The sequence below is a fragment of the Homo sapiens genome, chromosome 3 (genome assembly GCF_000001405.40).
Source record: "Homo sapiens chromosome 3, GRCh38.p14 Primary Assembly".
Classification (NCBI taxonomy): Eukaryota; Metazoa; Chordata; class Mammalia; order Primates; family Hominidae; genus Homo; species Homo sapiens.
This window is the reverse complement of record NC_000003.12, coordinates 179,059,194-179,075,716: the sequence shown is the minus strand read 5'-3', so window position 1 is coordinate 179,075,716 and position 16,523 is coordinate 179,059,194. Positions and strand designations below refer to the sequence as shown.

Below are 16,523 nucleotides of genomic sequence, written 5' to 3'. Positions count from 1 at the left end.
GCCGAGGTTATTATGAGAGACAATGAATGTTGGAGGCATTCTCTGATGATTTAAAGAAAGAAGTCGGTCTGGAAGACATTATGTGTTATGAAAGAAAAGGTATGTGGAGTCTCAAAGGATGACACAAACTCCCATACAAGAGAGGATCTGACCTGACGAATTGTATCAGTCCCTGGAGAGGGATGTGTGTTTTTCTCCTGATTGTGAGTACATCATGTAGCTTTCTGGACAGATTCCCAAAACCTAAAGCCATGCCACCAAAAGTTAAGTGTGTTAGGACCATCTCCTTGGTAAATAAATACAAATGTAGATTTTCTCAATATACGGTCTAGCATAATGAAAAATAATTATCCTTATTTTAATATGAGAGTTCCTTTCTGATAAATTCAGAGAGTTTCCCACATAATAGTTACATTAAAAAAGGAAACATTGCAGTGAAGTACATAGGCAGGCACTATAATGCCTATTACAGAATGCAGAAAATAAATTCCTCATTCATTCATACATTTATGCAATCAACTATGGTCATCCAAATGTACTGGTTATACTATATCAGGTCATGAAAGTCAGTGTATAAAAACGTTGCTTTTAAAAAAGTAATTAAAATTAGTCTCAATGTTGAGATCCTGTTCTTTTTCAAGAGAGAAACAAATTAGTCAATTCTACATGTATTTCTATTACCCACAAATCTCTCCTGTCTCCAAGTCATTTCTGGCTAATATCTATTCACTTCAAAATGATCTGCTTCCCCTTATTTTTCTGAGGATAACCCTAAAATTTGGGGTGGGGTTGGGTGAAGTGGGGAGGCAGGTGGCAAGAGGAAGTAGACATCAGTGCAAACACGCCTTGGCTTTGACCTCAATAGGCGATGTCTATTTTTTCTCTGCTATCAGATCAGTGCTCTGTTCATTCAGTTCTATCCTTCCCCTTTCCGACCTGTAGGCTCATCAGCCCCCTACAGCTGTCAGCTCCCTTGAATAGTCTCTAATGCCATAAATACTAAAAAAAAAAAAAAAAAAAGTTTAGGGGCATTCCTCTGGCTGAAACAGTTCAGGCTAACATCCTACTCTCTTTTGACTTATTGAGGCAAAACCCTAGACCTTGATTGCTTTTCTGATCCCCACTGGGAATAGAGCTCAGATGCCCCCAATCTCTAGATCTTCACACATGTGGGAATTGTATTATTTCTAGCTCCACAGTTTCTTTCAAAGGAATCCCAACGACTGGGTGTGTGTGGCTGGTGGGTGGGTGGGGATTTATAGGCCTTTCTTTGGGACATACACCAATATCTCTGGGGAGAGAAAATTGGTTCCCCCATCTTTGTGGCAGATTGCATTATTGTTTACAATTAACCACACAACCCCCACTCCAAAAAAATTACAATCCATGCCCATTGCCATGTGATTTGCCTATGAAAGAAGTAGACTTCTCCACTTACTTGGGGTTTGGCCATATGAAAGACCTTGGCCAATGGGATTTGAGTAGACATGTCATGAGACATTAGAGAAGCAGCTTTAAGAGGCTTCACAAGTTTCTAACAGCTTTCTGGCTCTTCCCATCTCCCTTGAGAATTGCCAAGTTCTACATAGGGGCAGCTTCTTCAGCTTGGGCACTGGATTGAGGAGACCCATGGAGCAGAACCTCAGCTGACCCAGCATGTAATACAAATAAGAAATAAACCTTTGTGGCCATCAGCCATTTTTTTTTTTTTCAACCGCAAAAGTGATGAATATATTGTTTGTGGCTTTTTTTCCTTTCACCTCATGTGCTGAAACTCATGAAGTCCAGCCAATTCTAAACTACAAACTCTGACTTATGAGACTACTGTCACTGCCATGAGCTTCAAATATCTATTACACAAGCATCAGATTTGCCTTTTCTTTCTCCCCGAGGCAGGGAAGGAAATGCCCTAGCTGTCTGAGAAGAGTATGTGAGCAGAGAACATGGAATTGTTCAGATTTTCATCCTGATGGACAAGAACACATCAAACTATCAAACATAAAACTTGAAAACTCCAAGACATTTATCCTTCCTGGACTCAAGGTATTTACAGGGCAGAGGAAATATCTCTTAAGTAATTATAATGTGGGACAACAAATAGTGTGTCATCAAGGTGTGCGGAGAAAAGTGCTGTGGGACCTCATGAAAGAAGAGGCCTGGAAGGACAGGTAGGATTTGACAATTCAAGGGGAGGGGAGAGAAAGCATTTTGTATTCAAGATGCAGACAGAGCTAAATTACAGAGGCAGGAAATGAAGGGGCATGGATGGGGGTGTGAGTGAAATGATGAGGGGAGACTGGTGGAAGGTCAGATCGGAAAGGCTCCGCAAGGCCTACTTGTGGTCCTAGATAAGGAGTGTGGACTGTGAAGTTCTAAGACTGGCTAAAGACCATATAGAAAAGGGGCTGGAGAGTGGATTTTAGCAGCATTTATTATTTTAGAAACAATATAGCCCTTTAAAATAGTGACACATAAAGTAAATGTACCTATACAGCTGGAAAAACAATTCAGGTGATGGATTACTCTCCCCAAATGGCTGGTGTACACTGTGTGTATATGTTTGTACTTCATATTCATTGTACTTATGAAGTCTTTTATGGTTTGTTGTTGTTGGTATTGGATTGGTGCATTTTTCAGCCAAAGAAACAGCCTTGATTTCCTGCAGTTGTTTCCCTACTAATAGGGCACATCTTACTATACTTAGATCTCCTTGGCATTTTAATTCGTGTTTTAAAAAATAACCACACAATAATGCAAATGTACTTAATGCCACTGAACTGTACTTTTTTTTTTTTTTTTTTTGAGACGGAGTCTCGCTCTGTCACCCAGGCTGGAGTGCAGCGGCGCGATCTCGGCTCACTGCAAGCTCCGCCTCCCGGGTTCACGCCATTCTCCTGCCTCAGCCTCCCGAGTAGCTGGGACTACAGGCGCCCACCACCACGCCTGGCTAATATTTTTGTATTTTTAGTAGAGATTGGGTTTCACCGTGTTAGCCAGGATGGTCTCGATCTCCTGACCCCGTGATCCACCCGCCTCGGCCTCCCAAAGTGTTGGGATTACAGGCGTGAGCCACCGCGCCCGGCCTGTACTCTTAAAGTAGTATATTTGTTATCGTTTGCCACACACAAAAATAATACCCCAGCAGATCTTCATACGAGTTAATTTACGCTATAAGTTTAGAGCCGGAATTTCCTCAGCTCATCACTCAGTGTTAACATTGAAGATGTCCAGGTTGGTTATGAAGGATGTGACATCCTAGCGTTGGCCACTCTTTTCCTGGTCCTTCCTGTCTTGCAGGTGAGCCTCTGGGGGTCAGGAGAAAGTCTCCTCTATCTCCTGCTCACTTTCGTGTAGGGGAGGGAAGGTGTGTGTGTGGGTGGGTGGGGGCGTTTTGTGTGAGGGAGGCCGATACTGGGCAGGCAGCCACGCTCTTCTTCCTCCATCCTGGGGCGGAAGTGGGGAGAGCAGCAGTTTAAAGGTTCTGTTGCAGCAGTTTAAAGGATCCACTCAGCCGCCTTAACCGCCAACCAGCAGGCTAAGGGAGGAACAGAATGAACAATGTTTGGATCCCAATGACTGGAGATGAAAGTTGCAAAAGCTCTGCCCAGGCTTCTACCAAGGATTAACTTTCCAGGGCATCTGCTGAACTGCTCTTCGGGGCTGTCTGCTGAGATTGGCGGCGGGACCCTCCCGCCTCTCACTCGTGCCTTTGTTCCCCACGCCGGCCTAACCCCGCGCCCCTGCGCTCGCGGCCAGGGCACCTGACCCACGCGCCGCCCGCCGGGGATGCGGGAGCCGCCACTGCTACCGCTGCCACCGCTGCCGGGCCTGCTCCGCCAAGCACATGCGCAGTGGCGACGCCGAGCCGGCGCCCTCAGTCTCCTCCTCCACCGCCTCCCGGTTCCGCAGTCACTTCCTGCAGCTGTTTCCCTGTGGGTCGGGTTGGACTGACTTTTGACAGTCAGCCTTCGGCTGCGGAGGGGGCTCGGCGGCGGCCGGCGGAGAAAGTTGCTCCGAGAAGAGGCTGGGTCGAGCTGGGCCGAGCCGGGCGCGCAGGGCGGGCGTCGCGGGCGTCCCGGGCGGACGCGGCGCGGAGACTGCCGGCGCGTCCCGGGGGTTCCGGTAAGTGCGGGCGATTGGGAGCCGCGGAGCTTTCAGGACGAGCCCCTGGAGCGCCGGGGACTAGCGGTTCCTTTCCGATGCTCTTTCCATCTGCCCTCCACGTGACAGGGCTTGCGCTGCTTCTATTTATCAGTTTGCTTGTTTCAGGCATTTCACGTGGACCAGGTGGATCATCTGTGCGTGCAGCTGCCTTGGCCCTCTCAGTTGCCCCCGCCCCGTGGGAGTCGGGGGATTCCATCCTTCGTGATGGCATCCATACCGGGTTGAGGTGCGTGTGTGGGTTCGTGTGTATGCATGCACATCTTAGGAATGTAAGGTGGATGTGGGCGACGCTGAACTGTCTGTAGCTTTGATTCAAATCTGTAAACAGTTCTCTAGGATTAGGAACCGTCACAGCGGAGACTGAAAAACATTCGCCAATTCACCAAGGCCTCTTCCCCAGTTTTCTGCGTTCTTTTGAGCCTTCTTTATAGGATACACCTTGCCTCAAGTGATTATTATTATTATTTTTTTTAACTTTTCTCCCTCTCATTCCTTCTTGCTGCGTTCTGATGACCTCTGAGTAATGCTCGCTGCCTTTCCCTCATTTCCAGAATTCCCAATTACAGACTTACCTAGTTTGCTGAGGTGCTCCTAACCTGTTCCTTTATTCTATTCTCTTTCCTCTGTAGATTTCTCCAAATGAGACAAGAGATTGTCTTTAACACAGTATGTGAAGAGTAGGCCCCAGTCCAATCATTAAAACTAAGTATGCTATGACAATTAATTTTCTTTAAACAGGGTACCTTGTGAAGCTTTGATTTTCTTTAATGTCGTCTTAGCTCCTTTCCAAACCAGGACATTAACCAGCATAAATCCTTCATTTATGCCATCGCAAGCATCAAAGTGACTGGTTTTTAAGATTTGAAGAATATTTATGCCAGTCTTCAAATTAGTCCCTTTTAAACCAATGCAACAGTTGAACAGATCTGAGTTGCATGTTTTGGGTCTCTGTATTCCATCATTCATGCATTCACTGAAGACTTGGTTTTATTCATTTTAAGATTTATATTTTATACTAATTTTTGTTTGCAAATGTACTAATATTTGATGCAATTGTCATACATAGATTTTTTTGAGGAGTCGACATTGTGTTGATTGTTAAATATAACAAGAAATAAATTTGGGATATCAAGCTACTCTTTAAAAATTGTAAAGATCAAATGTGATAATGGGTAAATCTGTGTTTGGCAAGAATTTTTTCTTTAAATCAGGTAACTGTCACCTCTGGTAGGAGGCCTTTTGTGCCTCTGTTCTTTGAGAAGGATCTTTATTTTGAGGGAAACCTGTAGATAACACTGGGGGAGACACATGCTAGAATTTCCTCAAGTGAAAGTGAGCTTTCATAAAACAAGTCCAGACATGCCTAGGCAATTGGTAGCATTTGATTTTCTGTTTATATTGCTGATTTCCTTTATCCAGAGGTTTTGACACCCCCCCCCACCTTTTCACTAATGAACTAGCAGAATGTTTGTGGCAATTTGACATCAGTAGCTTTTCAACATTATGAATTATTATTATTAGGTAGTTAAACTTTTTAAAAGCTGTTCTTTGTCTACTTAGTTCCGTTTTCTAAAATGACCATATCTGTCTTTGCTTTCTGGACTATCTTTGCTTGATTCAATTAAGAGAAATAATACCATTACAGAGAACCTGACTTTTTAAATGTTAAAACTCTATATTGCTTTTCTTTTATGTTCCCAGAGATATGGGCAGTACACTTCTGCTTAAAAATTAAATAATATTATCATTTTTCTAAATTTTGTGATTAATGAGAAGTATTGTTAAATTCTATGACTAATACTTATGCACTTTGTCCTTAACTACATTATTTTCCCATCACGCTGATTTCCTTTGTTGCCTCCCCACCCCAAATTTCGTCTGAAAGTTGTTACTTGATTTTCAGGTGCTGTGTAGTTATCAAATATGGTAAAATAGACTTTAACTTTTCAAAATTTACTTGATTCATTTTAGTAATTCTATTATTGCCATAATGTACACATTTCCATTGCAGATGGAAAATTTCAGCAGCTTAAAATAGCCATATTCTATTGACCAAGAGAAGAGGTTTTAATAATACTGTATTGAGAGAGTGGAGGGAATTGTGGATTTTGAAATAAGGATTCTAATTTGGGTTAATTAGAATCTTGGGAACTCAAAGGGTGTACTGTGGTTCATTTTGAGACACTCAGGGTTAGACGGCGCCATCTGGGGGGGAGGCAGGAGACATTATGGATAAAGATTGAAGAGGGAGAGGAACATTTTGGGTCTTTTCTGAGGGAATTATAATAGAGACTATCAGTTATTTGTTAAGAAGGAGGAGGGAAATAGCCTCAAGATTGAGGAACTGGAATTATACTGTGGCTTATGGTGGTGTGATCCATTACTCCATTGGACATTTCCTTGATACCTTATTTTGTGTAGGTAATTTACCTAGAGAAGGAGGAAAAATTTGGGTTTTACAGGGGCTGATGAATATAATCTAAGGCTGTATGAGGCAGGGCTGTAAACTCAAGAGCTCACAGAGAACAGGCAAGTAACAAGTACAGGCAGCAGCTGAGTGGGGACTGAGGTGTCCCAGAGAAGGCAGGCCTCGCTAGAGGGCACAGTGCCTCTGAGCACTAACTAGCTAATTGCGTCCCATATAGGAATGTGGGCCAAGTGATGCCAGATCATCCTTTTTCAAGAGAAGCCATGAATCTCTTGATTTTTAAATGCTAACAACTAATTCGACTTAAAAAAATGAAAACAAAACTGTATATTCCAAACAGCACATCTGTGGCTGTATGTGGCCCACAGGCTGTTTGCCACCTCTGCTATACATTTGCTCAACTACTTAAATATTGCTAGTTGATCAGAAGGAACATATTTTATTTATTTCTGTCATACTTTAGGCTACTCCTAGAGTTCCCTGAAATTTTAGCTAGTTCTATAAGTGCTTTAAGAATTCTGCAAGATGATATTCTTTTATACACTCTTTTTGATATTGGTTGGTTGGAAGATATGTTTGCTAAGATTTTTAGCTGGTGGTCTTTTTTTTTTTTGAGTCACAGTCTTGCTCTGTCACCCAGGCTGGAGTGCAATGGCACGATCTCGGCTCACGACCACCTCTGCCTCCCCGGTTCAAGCGATTCTCCTGCCTCAGCCTCCTGAGTAGCTGGGATTACAGGCACTCGCCACCACACCTGGCTAATTTTTGTATTTTTAGTAGAGACGGGGTTTCACCATGTTGTCTTGAACAGGCTGGTCTCGAACTCCTGACCTCAGGTGATCTGCCCACCTTGGCCTCCCAAAATGCTGGGATTACAGGCGTGAGCCACCACACCTGGACAGCTCGTGGTGTTTTTGTCTGTGCATGATTATCATTAAGAGTGTTTAAGTGTAAGTGTGCCTGAGGGAAGGGGTCTGGACTAGGTGACATTTGATGTCCATTTCAGCCATGTGACTTTTAGATTTAGCCGTGGATGCAATGCTGTTAATGTTCACGGGCCAAAGGGATAGCAGTTGGAACTGTGCCAAGCAAAATAAAGCCAAATCTATAAAGCCATTCTCAGTGGAAGAGCACCGTGTTAACATGAATTAACAGGCAGGGGAAGTCTGCTAAATGAGGCCAAAGGAAAGAAGTCCCAAAGATGGGTTTGGAGAAGTAGAAGAAAGGGTCAGATTATGTTGTCATTTACATGTTATCTTGCTGAAGTCTGATTTTCAAGTGAGTTTTTTTTTCTGTTTTTTTGCTGTTGATTCAGATTTGAAGACCTTGCTTCTCATCACCCACTGGATTATGCCCCAGGCTTCCCTACCCAATGATCCTCTTGCAACACGCCGTGCTTCCTCCACCTAAGCAGCCCTCACCCTCGCCTCCTATGTCAGTGGCCACCAGGTCTACAGGAACCTTGCAGCTTCCACCACAGAAGCCTTTTGGGCAGGAGGCTTCCTTGCCTCTTGCAGGGGAAGAAGAGTTATCGAAGGGAGGGGAGCAAGACTGTGCCCTGGAGGAGCTATGTAAGCCCCTGTACTGCAAACTCTGCAATGTCACCTTGAACTCTGCACAGCAAGCCCAGGCTCATTATCAGGTAAAGGGAGAAAAGAAAACCAGGCATTGAGTAGGGTGAACATTTCAGGGCTCTGGCTATTTAGCAGTTGTCTCTCCAGATATGACTGTGCCTGGAATACCAAGATGGCTTAGAGAACAACTAACTATGAATTTGTTTGATTAAAAGCCTTATGTTTTTACTTTAAAAATAAGTATCACTTTTTGTAGACTGGATCTCAACCTGTTACACTAAGCTGTGTGGCATGCGATAGCTTACCAGTCTTTGTAGGCAAATGTAAATGATCTATGCTGGCATCTGAACCTGTAGTCTTAAGAAGAACAAGTATTTAAACCACTATTTACCAGCCTGGGTGACAGAGCGAGACTTTGTCTCAGACAAACAAAAAAACCCATGATGTACCGAACTCAATTCAGTGTAAAATTGTTTAGAAGCTAATATAATTTGCATCATTTCGAGGTGACCTCTGTGCATGACTCTTATGCTTTCCATTTTTGACTTCTAACTCTTATATATCCTATCACTGGTAAGGAAAACACAGGTATCTTTTTGTGGTGAGAATAAAATGACATTGCAATATTGAGCCCTATCCTTCATTCATAATAAACATACTCTGATTTATTTTAGCCCATTAGCGTAAACTAATACTGGTTTTTAAGATTTAAAGCTTTCACCTCCATGTTGAATAGCTAGTGGAAAGGACCATTTTAAAGGGTAATATTACCTAAGAACAAATGGAAAATTAAACTTTGGTTAGCAAGAGACGGTACAATATTTCTTTTTATTCTAGACATTTGTCTGTATAAAGTTAAATAATTTCCTTTTTTGGAGAAAAGAGACCTGGGAGATAATCAAGGACAAAACCCAGTGAATGATGTCTTCCCGGGTCATCACTGATTTGATTATTTATTATCTGCTTGAAAATCTCTAGTAATAAGAGAGTATGGTAGAAGACTGTTACACAGGTGTTTCTTCTGTTGTGCACTATAACTTTCTCCACTTTGTTTACTGTGGGTGTTAAGTCTTTTCTGTTTTGTTTTGATCCCAAAGACTGATTATTGTGTTGCTTTTTGATTGTATGTCGGAAGTATTTTGATGGTCAATTGTTTTCTCTGGTATTTAGGGGAAGACATAATATGTTGCCTCCTTTAAGTTCCCATTATGTGGTTTTGTTTTGCCCTCAGGTGCAGAGAGTTGAGTTAATTATATCTCGCAGCTCTTGACATGTGTCATCATTGGTTCCTAAAGGCCTCTTCTGGTTTTATTTTTACGTTTTCCCCCTTTCCCCAGTACGTACTCTCATCACCTTGCTGTCCAGTACAGTTGTTTGATACAGGGTCTTCCTTTGCCTGTCTTTACCATTCAAGCAGAGTCTGTTAGCATGATTAATCTCAACTCCAAGACTGTATTAGCTTTCTTCATTTATTCCTACGGAATGTTCAGTTTTATAGCCTAAGACTCACTTTGAAAAAAGAAGCCAGGGTTCTAAAGGTTTAATTATTAGCCATATAAAGCCCCTAACAAATCATTAACTTGGGGGCAAACCCACTTGTATGCTATACACATATATAATTATCTTTATTTATTTATTTTTTTTTGAGACAGAGTCTCGCTCTGTTGCCCAGGCTGGAGTGCAGTGGCGCGATCTTGGCTCACTGCAGCCCCTGTCTCCGGGGTTCAAGCGATTCTCATGCCTCACCCTCTCGAGTAGCTGGGATTACAGGCACACACCAGCACACCCAGCTAATTTTTGTATTTTTGGTAGAGATGGAGGTTTGCCATGTTGGCTAGATTCAGCCTCCCAAAGCGCTGGGATTACAGGCGTGAGTGACCTACCGCACCCAGCCTATAATTCCCTTTTAAGGAAGAGTTGTTTACTTTTATGAGGGAAAACTCTCGGGCAGTGTGTAATTTTAACATGTCCATGGATTATACATATACCTTATTTCTTTTTTTCTCCTAATAAAACTTTTTGACTTCATGGACTTTGAAAGGTGCTACTGATGATACATAGAGAAGATTCAGTTTGATGCAAGGTCTTTGGATTATAAGGCTAAAACTAGATAAGCAGAATCAACATTTGTTTTTTTCTTTTATTTTACATTTTTGCGTATGTTCTAAACTATGTAGTTGACAAGATTAGTAATTATACTTAATTTCAGTTTCCTCAGTGATACAGTGAATAAATAAATTAGAAAATATAAGAAAAGGGAAATACAATTTAGGTAAATTTCTCAAAAATCAGAATTTTTAAGTGGAAAGGTTGAAGGAGAACAGGATGTAATGGGACAATTTAAGCAGCTAAAAACCAGGGTAAAGATGGGAAAGAAAAGAGGCAAGCAAGTAATCAGAAAGTAGGAGCTTACAGAAAATGAAAAGTTTGGGTATAATAAAGTATATTGCTAAGACTTCAGAAGCAAAGATTCGAATGAGACTGATGTTATTGGTAACTCTTAAAGAGAGAAGGTTTTAACAGACAACTAAGGCAAAGCAGTTCATGTGTAAAAATACAGAGCAATTATGTTAGGGTAACATAGAAGAAAGGTAATCTTAGAAGTGAAATCTGGATTTCAATAAGATAGAAATGGTCAAGATGAGAGTGGATAGTGCAAAGTGTAGATCAGAATAATAAACAGAGTGTGAACATAACTCTAGAAGTGGGTGAGCTACCAAAGAAGGAAAGCGTAGAAATGTTAGCCAAAAAGATGCATCAGAGGGTGTACATGAATAAGCAGTAATAAAAGAAAGATTACTGAAGACAAGGCTAAGACCAGGCCAGGTGTGGTGCCTCACACCTGTAATTCTAGCACTTTGGGAGGCTGAGGCGGGAAGATAGTTTGCGTTCAGGAGTTCAAGACCAGCATGGACAGCATAACAAGACCCTGTCTCTACAAAAATACAAGGAAATTAGCTGGGCATAGTGGCAGACACTTGTAGTCCCAGCTACTCGTGAGGCTGAGACAGGAGGCTCACTTGAGCCTGGGAGATTGAGGCAGCAGTGAGCTATAATCATGCCACTGCACTCCAGCAAACAAAGACAACAACAAAAAACACACAAAAAAGAGAAGGATAAGACCAATGAGTAAGGCTTACCAAGCACAGGAATAAGTAGAATGCCAATGATTGTAGACTAATAAAGTGGTTTAGGATTAAATGAGATGATGGATGTAAAATTTTATTTCAAGACTAAAAACTTACTAATTTTTAATACAGAGCATTACCAAGCTGTACCTTCATTATTTCAGTTATGTGTGAGATAAAATGGGTCACGGGTAGCCTGTTTATGAGCTAGAAACACATTTGTGTGAAGTGATAAATCACTGTGATTACATTACTCAAAACTTTTTAGTCAGTTGATGCCATTGTTGAAATCGTGGAGTTTCAAATTGCCTCGGGTATTGTAAACAATGGTGGTTACACTAGAGCCGGACTGTATCATGTGCCAGTAATCCAGGACACGCAGTGGAAACTGCCCAATAAATACTTCCCTTTAAGCTCACTAGCATTTTTTCCTGACATCCCAGTGTTCCCAAGCTGGGGCTACCTTAGCAGTGACCCATGTGTATCTGTAGTCATCACAGATTTAGTTTTATTCCAAGGACTTTTAAAAACTGGTCAGTTGGCTTCAAAACATCATTAGCTATTGTTTTATTTTTAATGAAGCCATCAAATATTATATTCTTAAAATTAGGGCTTTGGATATAACTTAATTTAAAATCCAATCTTTGGAGGAGAAACATATTTTCATTTTATTAAAGTCTATCTGCAGGCTTCAGGTTACTTAGGGCAAGGCTGGCATGGGGTAACATACCACTGTTTCATCAGCATAAATGCCCAGAGGAAGAATTGCTTTAGCAGGGAAGGTTATTAACAGAAATAAAGAAAAGCAAAAAGCACGGATGAATTTTGCTAAGGCATCCACAGTTTAAAGTCACCAGTTTATTTGCTAATTTGCATGTATATATTTAAAAAGATCTACTTACTCAAAGTACATTTATAAAATTTGTCATAAACATGGCTTTCTATTTGTAATAGTTAGTGGCCAGATAGCAACCTACCATGAATTAGATTGATTAGAGAAAGAGAACACAGGTGAAAGAATAGTTTTAGAATTAGGATGCTGAGTGTAGTGGTCTTAATTCATAATTCATAATGAAGAGAATGCTATTAGATTTTTCCCAAAATTTAAAGCACTGATTTTGGCACTTACATTTTAATATTGATCACCCAGGTTTGGATCACTGAATTAAATCTCAGCTAATTTTCATGTATTCAAAATTCTCCTATCTGATTTTTTTCCAAATGGACTTGCAGTGGACTGAGAATGGCCAAAACACACTTCAGATTTGGTTTTAATGCATGTGCTTTACACGTGGCATATATGCTTTGGAATCTAACAACTTTGGGCTAGGATCTTGGCTCAGTTACTTTAGGCAAGACACTGAATCTCTCTTTATTCAATATCTGTAAAGTAGGGGTCATTGTACTTCCTCTGCAGGATTGTGAGACTTGCATATGTTATCTTAATAAATGCTGGTTGATTGAAATAGGTTGCTATTGTTTAGAAGTGTTTGGGTCTCAAATGAGCAGAATGAGATGGCACACAGCTGTCTTACTGTTGTTACTACCTTGATAGTAACTTGCTGTAGGACCTTGTGTAAATAAGCAAAACTTTGTTTTCCTTGATTGTTCTCCCGAGATAGTCTTTTAGATCCAGATACCAGGTTACCTTAAAAGATTCTCATGAAGAATAATTCAACCAACAAATGAGGCAAAATAAAATGATTTTCAAATGTAAATATGCTTTCAACCATACTACTCGTCTGTCAGCTTAGTCCATTTACCCAATAATCAATCCTTGTTGGTTTTCTTGTTCTGCTCTCTGAAATCGCCAGCTCTGTAGGCTTTTCTAGCTCTTGCTTTGATCACTTTAGAGGACAGAAGCTCTCTGTGATCCTGCCAGTTTTTTGCCTCCTCCTCTAGTCTACCCCTACCTCATTTCTTCTTATTTCGAAATGATAGATACCCTTTCTTTTGTCCAAGTTTGATTCCTCATCCTGTTTTCTGGATTTCATCACCTTTTCACCTCAATCAAAAACTATGCCCAAGTCTTTTCTATATAAATAAAAATAGCAGCAGCAACCTTCTGTTTACTTTTAATCCCTTCTATTAGCAACCTTTCTCCTCTCCTCTCCTGTCCTTAGCATTCTGCAGGTAGAATTGTTCTCTTCAGGTCTTTATTTCCCATTCATTCCTCAGCCCACTGTACTCTGATTTCCATTCCTATAGGCCGCTGAAATGGTCCTTTCCATTGTCACCATGATCTTACAGGCCAAATCTAACTCCTTCTCACTTGACCCCTTTGTAGCATTAGCCAATGGTAACAACTTTCTCCTAAAAAAATTTAAAAATATTTTTATTTAAAATAATGCCTGAGGAACCAAAGGATTTATAATGAAAAGTAGTAATCACCTGTTCTCCACCCATTCCCTACCTTTTTTTTCCTCTCCATTCTCTTCTCCTTTCTGACTCCCAACTTGAGCTGGCTATAGTTTTACTTTGACACTGTCAAGATTGATCACATTTTTATCCATTCTGTCATCAAATTAAGTTTTCCATGCTCTATTTGCAGGTTGATGCCAATTGTTGAAAATTAACATTGAGTTTTTGCATTATTGTGAATAGGGAATTTTGCACTATTATGAGTGGGGAAATATTGTTCACTGCAGAGCTGTTTCCTTCCCTGTATTTCCAGTGTCATGATCCCATGCTACTCACAAGAGATGTTCAAATAGGTAACCCTTTCCTGAATGCCACCAGTTGCTCAAAATTGTGTCTATTTTAGTTTGCTTCATATGTGGATTATAACTTTGAAATAACTTTTTGTTTTTCCTTGAGTTTCTGGTACTTAAAAAAAAAACTAGAGAGAAGAATCTTAAGCCTTTCAAAAAAGGTATTAGCATCTCAATCTTTCTTTATATTGCTTACAACCCATTTCATTTATCTTCATGAAACCCACTGTTTTCTGATTCTGATTTTGACTAGTTGTTCTAATTTGGATTAGTTGTTCCATATTTGAATCACTACTTCATTGTGTAGGTTTTGTATTTCCCGGAGATTTTAGTTGCTTTTCTTCTCCCCTCTTTTTCTTGCATTATATTTTTCATATTATCGTTCTCCCCTCCATCCCTAAATCTCAACCCCACTATTTATTGTATGGAATTTTCCTTTTATCCTAGATCCCTCTATCTCCTTGCTCCATTTTCAGCTGGAGTCTGTTGGGTTTGCTGCACAGCTTTGTCAGCTTTGGACTTACCACTCTTTAGGTGGGATCACTATTTTCTAAATATATGTTTTCTTTTTTAAATCTTGTTTTGTTGGAGTATATTGTCACATTAAGGAAGAAAGAATGAATATAAATGTACAACACTTTTTTTTTTTCTTGAAATAAAATGGGGGAGTAATGGGAAATAATTTTTTTGAGCCCTTGCGTTTCTAAAAAATGTTTGCATTGTGCCTTCATGTTTGACAGTTCAGTTCCAGGTTGAAAATTATTTTTCTTTGGAATGTTAACAGCTGCCCTCTATTTTCTGTTTTTATCTAATGTTGCTGAAGAGAAATCTTCTGATTCTTATTCTTTTTTTGGTGACCTGTTTTAATTTTGTGTCTTTCTTTTTTTTCCCCTGGAAGCTTTTAGGCTCTCCCTTTTATCCTTGTAGTCTGAGATCTGACAATGATGGTTGTGTCTAGTTTTCCCCAGGATACTTTTTCATTTGTCCTGGTCAGCACTAGTAGATCCTTTCAGTTTGTGTACTTCTGTTTCTCTTGCTCTGGAGAATTTAAAAAATATATATATTTTTGAGACAGAGTCTCACTCTGTCACCCAGGTTAGAGGGCAGTGGTGTAGTCTCAACTCACTGCAACTTCTGCCTCCTGTGTTTAAGCGATTCTCCTGTCTCAGCCACCTGAGTAGCTGGGATTACAGGTGCCTGCCACCACGCCCAGCTAATTTTTTTGTATTTTTAGTAGAGGCAGGGTTTCACCACGTTGCCCAGGCTGGTGTCGAACTCCTGACCTCAGATGGTCCACCTGCCTTGGTCTCCCAAAAAAAAAAAATATTCTTTCTTAGTCACTATTCTCCAGATTTTTTTGTCTTTCCTTCTAGGAATCCTGTTAGCTATTGTCATGGTTCTGCTTGATTGATTCTTTTTTATTTTTCTAGCTTTATTGAAGTATAATTGATGGATAGATACTTTATATTGTTTGTCTCTGCTATCTTTTATCATTCTTTTTTTGTTTTAATTTGAGACATGTTCTTGACTTCTAATCTCATATTGAATTTTTTTTTTGCAGTTGCAAGATTTAATAGAGTGAAATAGAGTGAAAACAAGAGCTCCCATACAAAGGGAGGGGACCCAAAGAGGGTAGCTGTTGCTGGCTCGAATGCCTGGGTTTATATCCCGATCATTGTCCCTCCCACTGTGCTCTCAGGCAATAGATGATTGGCTATTTCTTCACCTCCTGTTTTGCCTAATTAGCATTTTAGTGAGCTCTCTTACTGGTCGGGTGTGAGCTAAGTTGCAAGCCCTGTGTTTAAAGGTGGACACGGTCACCTTCCCAGCTAGGCTTAGGGATTCTTAGTCGACCTAGGAAATCCAGCTAGTCCTGTCTCTCAGTCCCCCCTCTCAACAGGAAAACTCAAGTGCTGTTGGGGAGGTTGGCCGACAACCACTCTAACTACTTCCTGCTGAATCAGGGCATAGTAGGGGTTGTGCAGTTGAGATTTCCTCTGGAGGGGTGTCTTCGATGTCATTAACATCGGAGAATGGGCTAGCAGGCTGGTCCAGGGGTCCATGGTAGATTTTAGTCATGGACTGCATCTGGGGCTCCATTTGAAGAACGATTTGTAGTTTTACAGCCTTGATTCTGGAAGAGACAAACTTAACAAGGAGGTTAAAGATACAGGGATTGAAATGTATGGCCTGCAGTGCAGGGGTTTATTTCTTTGGCACACTTCACAGGCCCTGACTATCTGCTTGATAGTTTTGAAAAGGCCTGGTCCAGTAAATAATGCTTTGGCCATCTGATGGGTGCTGTCAATGCCTAAGTGAAAGGTTTGGTGAAGCGTTTTAAGTAATTTCCATTGGTTAGCTGCAGGCAAAAGTATTTTTCCTTCTTCGGTGGCTAGCCATCCTGAGGGGAGGAAATGATGTCCCTGTGAGGTTCCCCATTCTATTTCTTCTTCTGAGTACTGGGGCTTGGTTTCCTGGAGGGGATTACCCCATACTAGGGGTCCTTCTATAAGCATTT

The 16,523-nt window shown here is 40.8% G+C and overlaps 1 protein-coding gene across 11 annotated transcripts in view, besides 2 other annotated features; it reads left to right on the top strand.

Annotated features, from left to right (window-relative positions):
- Nucleotides 3,204-16,523, top strand: part of ZMAT3 (zinc finger matrin-type 3) — a 55,291-nt gene continuing 41,971 nt past the window's right edge. For 4 of the 11 annotated variants that reach the window (NR_164720.1, NR_164721.1, NM_001375826.1 and 1 more), the window contains exons 1-2: nt 3,908-4,122; nt 7,908-8,234. Coding sequence is in view for 9 of the 11 variants with exons in the window: in NM_001375826.1 (NP_001362755.1) it covers nt 7,965-8,234 (270 nt within the window). In the remaining 2 variants the exon portion in view is untranslated. Of the gene's footprint in view, nt 3,298-3,907; nt 4,391-6,374; nt 6,694-7,907; nt 8,235-16,523 lie in introns of those variants that run through there. The other 7 variants (NM_152240.3, XM_011513073.3, NM_001375829.1 and 4 more) reach the window with 5 other exon arrangements.
- Nucleotides 3,482-3,891: a silencer, noted in NCBI's record as "silent region_14909". NCBI's record gives its function as "represses an Ori minimal core promoter by ATAC-STARR-seq in GM12878 lymphoblastoid cells {active_cell/tissue: GM12878}" and the evidence as "EXISTENCE:reporter gene assay evidence [ECO:0000049][PMID:35858748]".
- Nucleotides 4,032-4,181: a silencer, noted in NCBI's record as "silent region_14908". NCBI's record gives its function as "represses an Ori minimal core promoter by ATAC-STARR-seq in GM12878 lymphoblastoid cells {active_cell/tissue: GM12878}" and the evidence as "EXISTENCE:reporter gene assay evidence [ECO:0000049][PMID:35858748]".